Source organism: Homo sapiens, chromosome 1 (assembly GCF_000001405.40).
Source record: "Homo sapiens chromosome 1, GRCh38.p14 Primary Assembly".
Taxonomy (NCBI): domain Eukaryota; kingdom Metazoa; phylum Chordata; class Mammalia; order Primates; family Hominidae; genus Homo; species Homo sapiens.
Window position 1 is genome coordinate 197,294,949 of NC_000001.11, and position 18,363 is coordinate 197,313,311.

General features: G+C 35.7%; 1 protein-coding gene across 12 annotated transcripts in view; it reads left to right on the top strand.

Moving 5' to 3' along the window:
• Positions 1 to 18,363, top strand: part of CRB1 (crumbs cell polarity complex component 1) — a 276,952-nt gene that overhangs the window by 93,445 nt on the left and 165,144 nt on the right. The window contains exons 2-3 of one of the 12 annotated variants that reach the window (NM_001257965.2): positions 7,492 to 7,523; positions 9,423 to 9,465. The exons of 10 other annotated variants lie outside the window; for them this stretch is intronic. The gene's annotated coding sequence lies outside the window, so the exon portion shown is untranslated. Of the gene's footprint in view, positions 1 to 7,297; positions 7,524 to 9,422; positions 9,466 to 18,363 lie in introns of those variants that run through there. One more of the 12 variants, XM_047416572.1, reaches the window with a different exon arrangement.

The window sequence follows — 18,363 nt, forward strand, 5'->3', positions numbered from 1 at the left end:
TAATGTAAATGACGAGTTAATGGGTGCAGCACACCAAGATAGCACATGTATACATATGTAGCAAACCTGCACGTTGTGCACATGTACCCTAGAACTTAGAGTATAATAATAAAAGAAAAGACCTAAGTTTGTTTTACTTGAGTGTTTGGGAGGCAAGTATTTTTTTTCATAAATGATATGTAAGAACTCTAAATTCTCATAAAATCATAAACATTTTTCAACCTCTTGGCAGGCTATAGAATTGTTAATCCTTTTTCAATGGTCTTTAAATGTTGTCATGTTGCCTTCTAGCTTGTAGCTGGCCCAAGGCCTGAGTGAGGGTGGTGCTGGATTGTGTCGTCAGGGTACTAAACACCTGAGTCCTAAGGATCAAAGCTGAAAACCAAAGTAGTGTGTCAAAACCCAAGAGGCAGGCAAGAGCAAGGGTCAGAAGCAAAATAAGGACAACTGAGAGCAATGTGGGATATCCAGCAGGTTAGAGCAATTGAACTTGAAGAAGTAACTTGGGGCTTTGTCTTGTAGGATATAGATTCCGCAAGTAAAAAATTTTTGAGCCAAAGAAAGAGAGGAACCAGACACTCAAGAACTTCACAGTATCACTGAGTTGTGTGTCTCATCATGGTATATTTTGTAGTTTATATTTCACTGATAATGGAATGACACAACTCAAGCCTTTGTGTCTGCAGCACTTCAGCATTTAATAGCTGAAATATATTTGAGCAGCTTTATTTTGGTCACCCTCCTTTCTTCCACCCACATGATTAAGATTTGTTAATGGAGATATTTGTCAGACTGTACAAGATTGTGAATTAGATCTTCTCTGAAGTGCGACATATGGCTGAGGATCTAATCTTATTTCTGCCTGAGACCTTGTGTACCTAGGATGATCCTAATAAAGTATTATGTCTTCATAAAGACAAAAGCCAGGCTTACTGTGAAACACAGCATCACATAGCTGGAAGAGAGCTACTTTGGTCTCTACTATTAGATCTAAGAAAGATAGCATCTTAACTCTTCTAAGATTTAAAAAAAAATTTAAGACAAAGTAAGGCATAATCCTTCATTAATAGATTTTATAGACAGAAGACTATAAAAATATGAGCACTAGACTTGAGAACCTGAGTTCTAGAACTGTCTAAACTACAAAATACAAATTGTTTAAATCTCTCTTGGACTATTTTTCTATCTGCAAAATGGAGACACAAATAATGTTCATAGTATATTAACAAGAAACACTTTTTCATCACAGGTAAAATCAGGGGCTCTAGAGCCAGACTGCAGGCCTTGAATTCTATCTCCACTACTTACCAGATGTTTTGCCTCAGAAAATTACCTTTGCAAGCCTCACTTTCTTCATCTATAAGATGGAAATAATAATGGTACTTACACTATTTTATGAAGCTTAATTGACATCATCATGGTAAATGATTTAAAAAGTGCCAAACTGTACCTGGAATATAGTAAACAGTACATTTAAATTTCTACTTGTGTTATCCAACTAGATCACTGAATTTCCTTCATATTTTCTTGTATCAAAACTGTCTTGCTACAGATCCAGAAGTCAGTTGTATCTCCAGGTAAGAAGAGAGTGATAGACTTCAGAACTAAAGTGAAGTGATTTATCATTGAGATCCCATTTATCCGATATTGGAACTCCAGGCTTTTAGGAACTGATCTGTCTGGTAACCAAGTTGATATGGTTTGGCTGTGTCCCCACCCAAATATCATCTTGAATTGTAGCTCCGATAATTCCCACATGTTGTCGGAGGGGCCTGGTGGGAGATAATTGAATCATAGAGGCAGTTCCCCCATACTGTTCTCATGGTAGTGAATAAGTCTCACAAGATCTGATGGTTTCATAAGGGGGAACCCCTTTCACTTGGTCCTCATTTCTCTCTTGCCAGCCACCATGTAAGACGTCCCTTTTGCCTTCTGCCATGATTGTGAGGCCTCCCCAGGCATGGGAAATTGTGAGTCCATTAAACCTCTTTTTCTTTATAAATTACCCAGTCTCAGTTATGTCTTTACCAGCAGCATGAAAACGGACTAATACACAAGTCTCCTCCTTGATTGACTTCCTCTCTTTATTCTCTAGTCCTATTAGGTGAGTTTGTTCTTATTATCTTGTTCTTGCTATATTGGGCTTTTCTAATCCTGAGCTCTAGTTTTCCTATGACTGGGCCACTGAATCTTGTGGCATGGGTCATCTGAAACGCCATCAACTGCTTGCCATAATCTCAATTCTGTCCCGTGTTTGCACCTTGTCCAACACTCCTGATATCCATCCCCTTCTAATGATTTTCTTCATGTTGATTATCTGCTCCTAATTGTTCCTTTCTAGACTTGAAAAATATTAAATTGTGCTATTATACATATATTAGTTGTCTTTGGGAGTTAGAGTCCACAAGATTTTTTGGTTAATTGAATGTGTTAGGAAAAGATGAGGAAGGATCCACGATGAACCTGAGGATTCTGGCTTGATCAATTGTATGGCCAGTACTTCCATCAACTTTCTAGCTGAGGTATGGAGTATGGCAGGAGGAAAAGTACTGCATGGGAGTGCAGGATGAAAGATGACCAGTAGCGTTGCTATGTTTGCAAGTTGAGTTAGAATGGAGATGTCAGATAGTGTGATAGCCTTCATGCTGAGGAAAGAGGGATGTGCTAGAGATTACAACTTGGGGGATATCAATCTATACGTAGCAAGTAGAGATCTGATGATTGAGGATCACCCAGGTGAGAGTCCACAGGGAAAAGGGAAGAGGGCCCCTAAGGTCCAGTCATTTTAAATGACAACTGAGAAAAGAGAATTCACAAAGGAGCCTATAGAACTTAGAGGGGAAAAGAAAAAAGTCAGAAAAGTATGAAGCTATAAAAAAGAATAGCTTTTAAGAGATAGAGAGATAAGATAATTCAAATATCAAGACTTCAAGTAAGAAAATGACTCCAAATGTGTTATTACTGGGGACCCTGGCCAGTAGGTTCATGGGGTGGTGAGGACAGTAGCCAGATGGCAGTTGGCTGTGCACTGAGTGGAAACTGAGTGAGAATAGATGGTGAACATAGACAACTGTTCTGAGAAGTCTGGCTGTAAAGAGGGGAAGGCAGATACTACAGGAGCCATAGGGAAATAAAGGAGAGATAAAGAGGGTTATGTTATGTACTTTGCTTCTTTTCTTTTGTTCTATTTTTAGCAAAAATGTGAACATGCTTACATACTTACAGAGAAAAGAGAAATTGCAGATGGAAAATAAAGAGAGGCAAGACCCTACAGGGAAGTAAAAGAATCTTATTCTGAGCACGCTGAAATTTTATCCTTGGATAAAGAGACAAAACCTAGTAGCCTGGTTAATAGGAGGAAAACAGGAATAGATGTATATGGATGTAGATAAGTCTATATCACTGGTACAGGGAAATTAAAGAAGGTACCTCTAACAGGTTCTATTTACTCTGCAAGTAAATTGCAGACGATGAAAAAGTGGGGTAAGAGGATTAAATGCTTCAGGCGAGAGGAACCTTTAAGTAGTAGTTTTCTCCACAAATTTTGGAGGTTAATAATTTTCAGTGTTTTGGACAAAATGAACAAGTTGATTCTAAAATTGAGGAGAATAACAAAGAATAAAACTGGCTAAAACACTCCTGAGGAAGAATAATGACTTGGAGGGAATATGTCCTACCAGATAATATAGCAAGAATTATTATAATGCTATAACAATTTTAAAAGGATGACATTGGCTCAAGGGGTAAATATATAAAACAAAGACTCAGAAACGGCCATATATAAGTGGAAAATTATACATAAGAGAAATGGTATTGCCATCATTGGGAACAGAACAAATGGCATTAAAATTTTTTTGCCCAATTATTTATTGATATTGAAAACATAGAGTTGATCTTCTTCTCATTTATACATAAAAACTAATTCCAAATAAATTAATTACATGGGAAAAGCAAAAACTTTATACTTTACAAAAGCAAAAGAATATTTCATTACCTCAATGTAGGAATACATTTATTTAAGACAAAAGTGGTAATTATGAAAAAATTAAGGATAAATTCAATTACATTAAATTAACTATAATAGTCAAAAATACTGTAAGTAATGTAGAAAAAAAATCAACAAACTGGGAGAAGGAATTTGCATGGCATACAGTCAACAAGATAATGATGATCTTAGTATGTAAAGCACTCCTTCAAATCAATGAGAAAGTGACAATGGACCAATTAATAAAATGGAAATGAGACATGAAGAACTATTTCACAGAAGAGGAAGCACGAATGGTCAAAAACATAAGAAAATGCAGTCCATCTCACTAGTTATCAGGGAAATGCAAGTTCAGATCACAGATAAATGCCATTTTGCATCTAGATTGGTAAAAATGATTACATCTTACAAAGCCAACCTGACAGACATGTGGAACAACAAGTAAGAGTGACTCTTACATAGAACTAATGCATGTATCCATTGGCATAAGCTCTGGAAAGCAATTTGAAGTTATTTTATAAATTTGACCATAAATTTACTCTAAATTGACTAAGTAATTCCACTCCTACACACACACTAAAGGAAAAATCTTCAATGTGTATGTGCAATCGTGTACAAATCAAAATATGTAAAAAAAGTTCATACAGCAAAAAACTTGAAAAATAAAAGTATTTTTGCCTTGACAAGAAAAGGAAAAAAAAAACTGTAGTATATTTATATAACAGGTTGTTAGAGAATATTGAAAATGAATGAACTACTGTTATGTGCAACTACATGCATAAATTGTTAAAACCTAAGTTGAACCAAAAAAGGCAGGACTCCATAGACCATGATGTGCTATACAGACGTGCCTCATTTTATTGTACTTCACAGTAATGTGCTTCACAGATACTGCATTTTTTTTCACAAATTGAAAGTTTGTGGCAACTCAGCATCAAGCAATAGCATGTGCTCAGTTTGTGTCTCGGTGTCACATTCTGATAATTTTTGCAATATCTCAAACTTTTTCAGTATTTTGTTACATGTGTTAGGGTAATCTGTGATCAATGATCTTTGATGTTCCTATTGTAATTGTTTTTGGGCACCACAAACCATGCCCATATGGCAACCAACTTAATTGATAAATGTTCAGTATGTCTGACTGCTTCACTGATAGGCTGTTCCTCTGTTTCTCTCCCTATTCTCAGGCCTCCATATTCCCTGAGACTAAACAATATTGAAATTAGGCCAATTAATAACGCTTTCAATGTTCAAGTGAAAGTAAGGGTCACCCAACTATCACTTTAAATCAAAATCTAGAACTGATTAAGCTTATGGAGGAAGGCATATTGACTAAGATAGGCTGAAACTAATCCTGTTGTGCCAAACAGCCAAGATGTCAATGCAGAGGAAAAGTTCTTGAAGAAGGTTAAAATTGCTACTCCAGTTCACACACAAATGGTAAAAAAGTGAAAGAGCCTTTTTGCTGAGATGGTGAAAGTTTGAGTGGTCTGGATAGAAGATCAAACCAGCCACAACATTTCCTTAAGCCAAAGCCTAACCCGGAGCAAAGCCCCTACTCTCCTCAATTCTATGAAGGCTGAGAGAAATAAGGAAGCTGCAGAAGAAAAGTTGGAAGCTAGCAGAGGTTGGTTCATAAGGTTTAAGGGAAGAAGCCATCTCCATAACATAAGAGTGCAAGGTGAAGTAGCAGGTGCTAATGTAAAGGTGCAGCAAGTTATTCTTAAGATCTAGCTAAGATAATTGATTAAAGTGGCTACACTGAAAAGCACATTTTCAGTGTAGGCAAAACAACCTCCTGTTGGAAGAAAATGCCATCTAGGACTTTCATAGCTAGAAAGAAGTTGATGCCTGGCTTCACAGTTTCAAAGGACAGGCTGACTCTCTTGTTAGGGGCTAATGCAGCTGATGACTTTAACTGAAACTAGTGTTCATTTATCATTCAGAAAATTCTAGGCCCCTTACAAATGGTGCTAAATCTACTATGTCTGTGCTCCATAAATGGAACAATAAAGCCTGGATGACAGCACATCTGTTTACAGTATGGTTTACTGAATATTGTAAGCCCACTGTTGACAGCTAATGCTCAGGAAAAAAAAAAAAGATTTATTTCAAAACATTACTGCTCATTGACAATGCCCCTAGTCACCCAAGATCTCTGATGGAGATGGGCAAGGATGTGAATGTTTTTATCCAGCCCATCTATGAATCAGGGAGTAATTTCAGCTTTCAAGTCTTTTTTTTTTTTTTAAGACCGAGTATCACTCTATCACCCAGGCTGGAGTGCAGTGGCGCGACCTCGGCTCACTGCAACCTCTGCCTGCTGGGTTCAAATGATTCTCTTGCCTCAGCCTCCTGAGTAGCTGGGATTACAGGCATGTGCCACCATACCCGGCTAATTTTTGTATTTTTAGTAGAGACGGGGTTTCACCATGTTGGCCAGGATGGTCTCAAACTCTTGACCTCAGGTGATCCACCTGCCTCAACCTCCCAAAGTTCTGGGATTACAGGTGTGAGTTACCACACCCGGCTTCAAGTCTCATTATTTAAGAAATACATTTTATAAGGTGAACACTCCGTAGATAGTGATTCCTTTGGCGATTCTGGGAAAAATCCATTGCAAACCATCTGGGAAGGATTCATCATTCTAGGTGCCATTCAGAACATTTGTAGGTGCCTCATTAATGCAGTAGGTAGCATGGTAGTCTCATAATCTGAAGAAACATTCATGATTCATGGGAGGAGGTCAAAATAGCAACATTAACAAGAGTTGGAAGAAATTGATTCCAACCCTTATGGATGACTTTGAGGGGTTCAACACCTCAATGGAGGAAGTAACTGCGGATGTGGTGGAAATAGCAGGAGAAGTAGAATTAGAAGTGGACCTGAAGATGTGACTGAATAGCTGCCATCTCATGATCAAAGTTGAATGGATGCAAAGTTGCTTCTTATGGATGAAAAAAAAAAGAATTTTGTGAAATGAAATCTACTCCTGGTGAACACTGTCGAAATAGCAACAAAGATTTTAGAATATTACATAAACATAACTCATAAAACAGCAATGAGGTTTGAGAGGATTGACTCCAATTTTGAAAGAAGTTCTATTGTGGTTAAAATATTATCAAAAAGCACAGCATGTTACAAAGAAATCTTTCATGAAAGGAAGAGTCAATAGAAGCAACAAATTTTATTATTGTTTTGTTTTAAGAAATTGCCACAGCCATCTCAGCCTTCAGCAACCATCACCCTGATCAGTCAGCAGCTGTCAACATGGAGGCAAGACCCTCCACCAGCAAAAAGATTATGACTTGCTAAAGGCTGAGATGATCGTTAGCATTTTTTAGCAATACAGGTTTTTAAAATTAAGGTATGCACATTGTTTTTGCAGGCATAATGCAATGGTACACTTAATAGACTACAGTATAGTGTAAGTATAACTTTTATATGCACTAGGAAACCAAAAATATTGTGTGTCTCATTTCATTTTGATATTTGCTTTATTACAGTAGTCTGGAACTGAACCTACAATATCTCTGAGGTATGCCTATATTTGTAAATCTTAGGGATAAATAAAAAGTAAGCAATATAAAGACCTAAAAAAGGCTAATATACACAAGATGGGGCCAAAAAATGGAAGGCAAAGCCTGCAATGGTGAGCTAAATGTTAGGAGTGAAGTCTGAGTCTGTTCAACTGTCTCTGATAGAGTAATTGACAAAATAAAGAATAGAAAATTCAGAATAAAGTTGGCCAAAGAATAATATTTATGCCATAAAGTCGATGAAAGAATATAAGACAAGATCTCATGGCAAAATGTGGGGGAATATTAACTAGGGACACAAGAGCCCCTTTAGGTCAGCTTGGGCTAAAATCTGCTAGTGTTAGAAAACACATCAAATTAAAATCAGAAAAAACAAACACATTTGTGAAACTAAATACTCCTGTATGCAACTGAAGGGAAGTAAGAAGGTATGTCAAGTTCTCTTTAATAGTTCCAGATACTTTCCCAAGGCACCACAAATCACACATATTTCCTGAATGTCTCATCTTTAATGAAGCTGCACTAAGTAGAAGCATTTTGTGTGTCATCAACTTGGTTTCCAGCCATTCTACTTTTCCATTATCAGTTATTTGCTAAAATAAGACCCAGGCTCAAATTAAGAGGCCAATTATTCTTTTATTTATTTATTTATTTATTTATTATTTTATTATTATTATACTTTAAGTTTTAGGGTACATGTGCACAATGTGCAGGTTAGTTACATATGTATACATGTGCCATGCTGGTGTGCTGCACCCATTAACTCGTCATTTAGCATTAGGTATATCTCCTAATGCTATCCCTCCCCCCTCCCCCCACCCCACAACAGTCCCCAGAGTGTGATGTTCCCCTTCCTGTGTCCATGTGTTCTCATTGTTCAATTCCCACCTATGAGTGAGAATATGTGGTGTTTGGTTTTTTGTATGAAAAGAAGATCTTGTTCATTTTTCCTGTTTCTTTTTACTCTGAAGTAAAGGAGATATTACTAGTAGCAGTAGAATATAAAAATAACAAATAATTGTACCATCAGATGACTGTATCTAGCTTTTGACATTGTTTAATATTATCTACCATCTAGCTTTACTCTCCCCAACAAGTCTATTAAGTGTCAAGTCATCTCAAAGTCAAATATCATGAAATTCAGACCCTGAAAAAAAAATAAGCGACTTGTCCTAGCTAGATTGATGATAGAATCAAAACTAACATTCAGATCTTTTGACTCATGCTTTCCTTGAATCAATCTAAATAAGCCACTTTAGATTTCACATGTCTAGTTTGCCTTTATCTAATAGCTAAACTTATTTTTATTCTAACATTAAAAGAGAATATTATGCATTTGGAAAAAATGCTGTTGAAAACATACATTGAAGCTGAGAGTGTTGGTGTGTGCCTGTAGTTCCAGCTACTTGGGAGGCTGAGGCAGGAGTGTAGCATGAGCCCAGGAGTTCGAGGTTGTAATGAACTATGATCATGCCATTGCATGCCACCCTAGGTGACAGAGAGAGACGCCATCTCTTAAAAAAATAAAAACATAATATTTTAAATTAGACATTGTGTTTTGGAAAAATGGAAGAGTTATACTCTAAAGATCTTTCAACAAATCTTCAGTATGCCTTTACTAAATGGAGAAGCTATGTATTGATATGTGGTAATACTATTGGTGGATCAGAAAGTATTAGGTAATTCTAGGTCATTATGAATACCAACTGAAACAGTTCTTCCCCAAAATCTTCATAGCACATCTCTCAAAAATGGAATATAATATACTCTTTAATAAGATTATTGTCTAATTTTTTAACATAAGTTAAATGCAATTAGATATTTGATTTTCTAATGGTTACATTTTAAAATATATTGATTTTGATTTTGAATAACATTAAATGTTTTTCCACATCTAGGGAGGACACATCTATGACTAGCAGTGGCATGTGCTCAGGAAAGGTAAATGTATGTCCTGGTTCAGGTGTATTCTCACTTAACCTCTATGATTTTCATATTCTTCATCTAAAGTTAGAGGAGTTTATTTAGATGCCTCTGTGGTAGATACTATGGGTTGACTTGCTCAGCCTTCATCCCACCCTCCACCTATGTGGTTTTCTATATTGTAGATTCTGGAAGGCTAAAACTACATTTCTCACTTTCCTTGCAGTAGGGTTCTACACATAAATTAGGTTTCACCAATTAAAAACACTTGGAAGGCAGAAGTGAAGTGGAAATCATTTTCCTCTTTTGGCTACATCTACAGGCTTGCACAGTTATGATGACATGAGGATCTTGGCAACAGCATTCCATTGTCCACTCTCCAGCTACCTAAGTGTCAAGAGGCAGTTTTGACAAAGGCAGTGCCAATCCTACCCATTCACCAGTGTTCATTCACTTGCTTTGTGAATGTTCAGGGACCATGGCAATGGTGGCAGTGACACAGAGGCAGTCCTAATCCTTGGATCATAGCTATGACCTTGTGTTTTGTATTCGACAATTCCAGCTTCAGCCTGAGAGTTCTGTAGTGTTCTGTTAGTCATTACTGGAAGGCCCTGCAGAGCCTATTCTTTCAGCCATTCCAGGGATGCCTTTTGCATCTTATTCTCAATACTAAATTTATTTCTACTTAAAATACTTAGAGTTGGTTTTTATGTCCTGCTCTGAAACCTGATATCTAAGTTTGCTGTGTGCTCTAATGTTCTTAGGTTACTGGGGAACTTGGTGTGTTTTCTAAAACATAGTCTCCAATATTTATGGTAATTTCTTAAATAATTTAAGTTTCTTTCTATGTAGAGTCTATTTGTAATGTAATTTTATTACTATCCTATAATTATCCTTGTTGGTGTTGAGTACATGGGAGTCAAGTGTATAAACATATTTGTTAATGAATCAACAGCTTATATTTTCAGGAATTAGGATAGCTATTAGGTGCTATTAAAATAGAGTATACATATATGTTCCAAAAAATTTTATGTACTGATACAATGAATTAGAATGTCTGAAGTAGATATAAGAGTGTATAATTAACTGTATTTTCTAAAAGGATTTTTTGTATGAATATGAAAAAATATTATTTATATATACATATATATAGAGAGAGAAGAGAAATAATTATGCGGATGACTGCTAATAATCTGTGATTTTTTTATGAGCGTCCTTTTACAGCATTCATCTTGGGTTAACCATTACAACACCTGAATAACTATTTGATATTTGCCGTCACCTCCTTAACGTCTTGATAATCAATATTAACTGCACATGAACACTTTACATTCTTCTTGAGCTAAAACTATTCAAATACCTTCAATCCTTGTGAATATTTTCCCAAATTGCAAGGAGTTCTTGCAATTCCTCTATTCTTTATATTTTAAAGAATGTAATACAGAAAGATCTACATAATATAGGTGATAAATTACTCACTTTGGAAACTGATATTTGAGATCTAATTGAAAAAAAAAAAAACAAAAAGCAAGAACTGAGCAAGCCTGCAACATTATCAGTCTCAATTCTGGGAATATCTTTGTTACTGAATTGTAAGGAGTGCAACCAAGGATGGATGATAGGTGGGGAAAAGGAAGTATAGTGTTCAGTCCTAATATTGGTAAAGAGTGCCTGGAAACGAACAGCACCAAGGAATGTAAGCAGAGGAATAGGTCAGATCCAGGAAAGGAAGCAGGGTAGGGCACATACAAGAACATGTTTCAGAGGAAGCAGCTGGCCAGCAGCTGCTGAACACTCCAGAAACAGAGAGATTCAAATTGCTATATAGCAAGCTGTAAAGTCCAAAATGTAGGAGAATGGGTGGGTCCCAGGTGGTCTGAGGGAAATTGAATGGTCAAAGAAGAAAAGTCGTGAAAACAGTCCAGCCAATAATAAAAAGGATAAATTAGGATAAAACAAAGATAAGATATCTGAAGTATCAGGAATGAGTATCTTTTTGATATTGAAGGCAGATATCCTGTCCTAAATTTTGGGTTTTCTATTATACTTTGGAAGGAAGAACTTATCCTACAGTAAACAGTCCAGGCTGAGCAGAAAACTGAAAGTACTACGCTGAGATGGAATATATACTCAGAGGCAAAAAGCCTGTCATATCCATTGGGTGGCAAGCTTAGGATTGTAGTGGAGTGTTATGTGGAGCAGTCAGGCTCTGGGAAGATAATTTTGTGCTGAGAGCAAGACTTAGGCACAGAAACCTCAAGGGACAAGGATCAAAGAAGAGAGAAAAATTGGTCCTTTGCTGAAAATTCACTTGCACCAAAAAGAAAATCACACAGAAAGGCATGAAGTAAACATCCAAAGTCAAGTAGAGAGGGGTCTCTGTCTGTGCTTTCTTGCCATCTACAGTCATTTTCACAGCAGACAAAAGCCCACAGGTGCTCATTTCTGAAGCAGGGCAAATGCAATTAGCTATTACAACTCAATAGAATGATCTGTATTCTAGTCACATCATGTTGTTAGTTGTGTTTCTTAGCAGCACACTGAAAAAAGGAGTCGATTTGTGTGGCCTGACCATTTTTCCCTCTTATAGTAAAAACAAATGTTATGTCTGAAAATTTAGATATTTTTACCTTTATTTTATTTGTTCTATTCAAAGATATTTTGAATATAAGTGGTACCTGTAGGCAAAAATCAACTAACATTTATTAAGCACCTTTTTGCTTGCATTTTACATATAATAGTTTATGCAGAACTATATAGTTTTCACAGAACTTAGTAAGTTCTCATAGAACTGATAGTAAAACTTCAGACTAAGAATCAGTATTGCAGAGTTCAAGCTTCAGATGTATTTCTAAGCAGCTAAAACCTTGAGCAAATTACTTCCCCAGTCATTGGTTTTTACAACTGCAAATGAGGATGTTAAAAGCTGTTTTACAGCTTGTTTGGACAGGATTAAAGGGGTTTACATATGAAATTCTGTTAAGTTTAATGAATATTTATTAACAAAATAATGTTTGCCAAACAGCATGCAAAGGCTTTTGGGATGATACAAAGGAAATAAGCTGTGGTTTTGGCCATTGAGGTCTGAGTCTAAAGAGGGAGACTGAAATATACACTTTAAAATTAGAGAAAATGCAGGAACTGTGAGAGTACAGAGAAGTTCAGTATGAAAGTAACTAAAATAATAGCCACATCCAATCACTCTTGATGTTCAATGAGTTATTTTCTCTTTTTGTTTAAATTATTTCTAATCAAAAGGCAAGGAACAGAAATGTCCATTATCACTGACAGGTAGATGATTTACAGTTGTGAATGATGAGTTACTCATTAATGTATTAGTACTGGAGGTATTACGATGCAGTAGGTCAGAGCCCCAAGGCTCACAGCAGGCTCTTGTCCATTGTAACTTAACTATATAACTTGGAAACATTCCAGATCCTCTCTCTCCCTGGTCCTTCCACTTACTAGCTACGTGACCTTGAACAAGTTACTTAAACTCTCTTTTCGAGCTACCATTTAACCCAGCAATCTCATTACTGGGTATATATACCTCAAAGAGAATAAATCAGTCTACCAAAGAGACACATGCACTTGTATGTTCATTGCTTCACTATTCACAATAGTAAATACATGGAATCAATCCAAGTACCATTAATGGCAAATAGGATAAATAAAATGGGTATATATATACCATGGAATACTACACAGCCATTAAAAATGAAATCACGTTATTTGCAGCAACATGGATGGAGCTGGAGGCCGTAATCCTAAGCAAATGAATGTGGAAATAGAAAATAAAATACTGTATTTTCTCACTTATAAGTAGGAGCTAAACGTTAAGCACACATGGACATAAATATGGGAATAATAGACACTGTGGACTACTTGGAGGGGGGCATGGGCTAAAAGCTACCTATTGGGTACTATACTCACTATGTAGGTGATGGGATCCTTACTCCAGTCCTCAGCATCACGGAATATTCCCATGTAACAAACCTGCACATGTACTCCCTGTATCTAAACTAAAAGTTAAAAAACAAAACCTCTCTGTTCTAATTTATCATCTACAAAATAGGAGTAATGATAGGTTGTACATTGTAAGATTATTATGAAGATTAAATGAGCTAATCTATATAAAAATTTTTAAAAAGTGCTAGTAAACAGTTTGGACTTAATAAATGTTATCTATATTCATGAATGTCATTTTTACTATAATGATGGTGATGATGCTTTGGCATATCTTTTTGTAAAATAGAGAATAAAAAGATTTATCTATTAGTTGTATGATGAGGATTAAAATTTAAAATGTCTGGTTTAATAGGTCCTTAATAAATATGAACTATTATGATAATAGTGATTACTACTAAAAATCATTCCCTATATATGTTTAGCATTTCACAATATAATAAATGCTTTTATGTAAACAAATAAATAAAAAATATAAATTTATAAACATATAAAAATGTGTGTGTATATATAGGATTTACAGTATCTACATATATGTATATATGTGGGTATATATATGTGGGTATATATACATATATGTGGGTATATACATATATGTATATATGTGGGTATATATGCATGTATATATGCAGGTATATATAAATATACAGTATATATGTATATACACAAACGTGTATATGTATATATTTATGTTACATGTATATACTGTAAATCATATATACACATATACACACACACAATGACACACATATATTTATATATTTATACTCACATATATTCATCAGTGTGAGTATATATATTTATATAAATAATTCACAATTGCACAAGAGATGAACAGGCCAGATTGTTCTATTCCTATGTATTATTCACATTTCATAGTTTGTTCATTAGACTACTGTGGTCTTCTACAGAAGATCTTTGAATTTGAATGTCTTACTACGTCTTTGCTGACACACACACACACACATACACACAGTTTCTGGTTGGTATGTGGACTAACATAACACCTTCTGTTTAATTAATTCTGCATTCTTTTCTCCTTTCGTTTCTTCCATTGCTTTCCTACTTCCATAAGTATAACACTGGAATCCACATATTTAGAGAAATTTACGGCCAGGCGCTGTGGCTCACGCCTGTAATCCCAGCACTTTGGGAGGCCGAGGCGGGCGGATCAGGAGGTCAGGAGATCGAGACCTTCCTGGCTAACACGGTGAAAACCTGTCTCTACTAAAAATACAAAAAATTAGCTGGGCGTGGTGGCAGGCGCCTGTAGTCCCAGCTATGCGGGAGGCTGAGGCAGGAGAATGGCATGAACCCGGGAGGCAGAGCTTGCAGTGAGCCAAGATCGTGTCACTGCACTCCAGCCTGATAACAGAGCAAGACTACATCTCAAAATAAATAAATAAATAAATAAATAAATAAATAAATAAATAAATTTACTTATGTACTGTAGTTGTTCAAGATGAAGGTTACACACAGAGAACTGGGTATGTTATTTATGAGCATATTTGCATTCATGTAGCATCTTAAATGTAGTTGGCAACCCTCTTCTAGCACAATGGACACCTGCTGGACTAACAATATGTTTATACAAGGAAAGTGAAAAATATCTACGTTTGCACACTGGCTGATGAAATGAAAATAGTTTAAACCAGTGATTTTTGTGTATAGCTTTCTTTTAACTTTTTTATTTGGGCTGAGAACCATGTGTGCAATGGTATGATGTTTATAAACATTTGAATGATAAATTTCTCTATGCACAGAGTTACCCAACAGTGTAGGTTTACAAGAAGACACTACATTATTGAAAACAAAGTAATTAAATTTTCGAGGTCAAAGTTCAAGGAGGATCCTGCCCTTGAGACTCTCTTTCCCTCCTCAAGGAGAATGAGAAGCCTCACTGGGTTGGCAATTTTCGGAATAGAAAAATATAAAAAAAACCCTGACATCTTCCAGGCCTAGGAACACATCGTCTTTTGTCTTCGCCCTCACCAAACCTATGCAGAATGTTGTGGCACCTAAATCCCCGTTTCTGGGCTGGAGACTCAGCATTATCTCTTGTCAGGAAGTTGTCAGATCCCTGCATCTGCAGACCACAGATAATAGGGAAAAGGAACGTCAAGGTAAGATCTGTGTAATTAATTAGCTTGTTGAGCAAACAGTTGAAAGGGAAATGAATTTATTAATTTTTGAAATGTATTTTTACCAGATTAAGAGAAGCTTTAGAGTTCTATCAAAAAACTTCCAGATCAATCAACAAGTGATACATATCTATATCTATATAGATATAGATATAGAAAATTCAGTGAATAAAAAAGAAGTTACATACTAATAAATATATTAGCATATTCTATCTGGTTCACCTGATAACCATATTTGCATAGTCATATTAGTTCAATAATGACTTTTGTTTTTAATAGAAATTAAAATTACATAGGGCAGTTTAGGGGAGTAGGAAATATCATATGCTTCTCTTTGCATTATGTTTGTTAATATCCCATTGGCCAAAGCAGTCATGTAGCCAAACCTGACATCCACAGGGTAGAGAAATATATTCTCCCATGGAGATGAAGACACTAATGAATATTTTGATGAACAATAATCTCACCTATGACACCTGCCATTCATCTGACATAGAAATTTCCGATGAATTAAAAATCTAAACTTAAAAAGCTAAGCTAACTTTTAAATTTTAATGGTTTTATACTGACACAATTTCAGACTTCTAAAGTTGTTGCTTGCAGCATTAGTCACAGTAGCCAAGACATGGAAATAACTTAAATGTTCCTTGCTGGATTCATACAGAAAATATGATATACATATGCAATGGGATATTATTCAACCATCAAAAAGAATGAAATTCTGCCATCTGTGACAACATGGATGAACCTTGAGGGCATTATGCTAGGCGAAATAAGTCAGAAAGAGAAATGCAAATACTATATGATCTCATTTCTATGTGGAATTTTAAAAGTCAAACCCATGGAACATAGAATAGAATGGTGATTACCAGAGCCTGCAGGGTGAGGACATTTGAGAGATGTTGATCGAGGAAACAAACGTTCCGTTGTAAGATGAATAACCCCTGGAAATCTAATGTGCAAGAATAATTTTGCTTTCCAAGATTATACAAAATATTTCTTGTATTTCATTAAAAATTCATAGTTTTTAACTCTTGTTGCAACTACTTTATTTTTTTCCGGATTTATTGATGTACAATTGACAGATAATATTGTACACATTTAAGATGAACACTATGATGCTTAGATATATGTATATATTGTGAAATGATTACCACAATCAAGTTAGTTAACACATGCATCACCTCATATAGTTAGTGTGTGTGTGTGTGTGTGTGTGTGTGTGTGTGTGTGTGTGTGTGTGTTGAGAAGATTTAAGATCTACTCTCTCTGGAAATTTCAAGTATATAATACACTATTAATATTATTTATATCTTTTAATGGGAAATTCCCCAATTACCAGTGCTTATCTGTTTCTTATAGATTTGTAGGAGCTCTTTATCTGTTAAATATGCTGGATTCTTTTGCTCATCTTTTAAATTTTGAGTGATATATCTTTCTTTGTACAGAAACTTAAATTTCATATAGCCAAGTGTAAGTAAAACCTAAGGCTTTTCTCATAGTTTCTGCTATTCTTTTCTGTAAGTCGTAAGTAAATTATCACATCATAGATTTTCCCATAAACAACATAACTTAGGCATGTTGCTCCAGATTTGATGAGATGAAAAAATTTTTAATGTCCCTGAAAAAATATGTGTATATAATCAATATACAAATAAACCTTAGCAAGGAAAGATAACTACATAGTAACTGTTTATTAGTTGCTATTCACTGAAACAAAAGAAATCATAGAAACTGAATGAATATGCAACCTCTGTCAGTCATAAAACATTGTTAACAGGCTGGGTGCGGTGGCTCATGCCTGTAATCCCAGCAATTTAGGAGGCCGAGATGGATGAATCACCTGAGGTCAGGAGTTAGAGATAAGCCTGGCCAACATGGTGAAACCCAGTCTCTACTAAAAATACAAAAAAACAAAACAAACAAACAAAAAAGCTGGGCGTGGTGGCAGGCACTTGTAATCCGAGCCATCAGGAGGCTGAGGCAGGAGAACTGCCTGAACCCAGGATGGGGAGGTTGCAGTGAGTCGAGATGGCACCACTGCACTCCAGCCTGAGGGACAAGAGTGAAACTCCGTCTCAAAACAAACAAACAAACAAACACCCAAAAATAAAAACAATCTGTTAAGATAGAAAAAATATAATATGGCTACAAAATAATGACAATTATCTATTCAAATAAAATAAAAGAGAGCACTTTTATATTGTGTTTTTTACACATAGCAACATTTAATATTATTCTTGTATTTTTCATTATCTGTAATATATCAACTGCATTAATCCCTTTCCACAATATTTTATCCAGTTAAATTTTTTTACACATAGCAACATTTAATATTATTCTTGTATTTTTCATTCTCTGTAATATATCAAGTGCATTAATCCCTTTCAACAGTATTTTATCCAGTTAAGTTTTTTTATTTTTTAAATTGACACATCATTGTTTGTATTAGTCCATTCTCACACTGCTATAAAGAACTACCTGAGACTGGGTAACTTATGAAGGAAAGAGGTTTGATTGACTCACAGTTCTTCAGGCTTAACAAGAAACATGACTGGGAGGCCTCAGGAAACCTACAATCATGGCCAAAGGTGAAGGGGAACCAAGAACTTTCTTCACGTGGCAGCAGGGGAAAGAGAATGTGTGGTGGAGGGGAAGTGCCACACACTTTTAAACCATCAGATTTTGTGAGCACTCACTCACTATCACAAGAACATCATGGGGGAAATCTGCTCCCATGATCCAATCACCTGCCACCAGGTCCTTCCCCCAACACTGGGAATTACAATTCAACATAAGATTTGGGTGG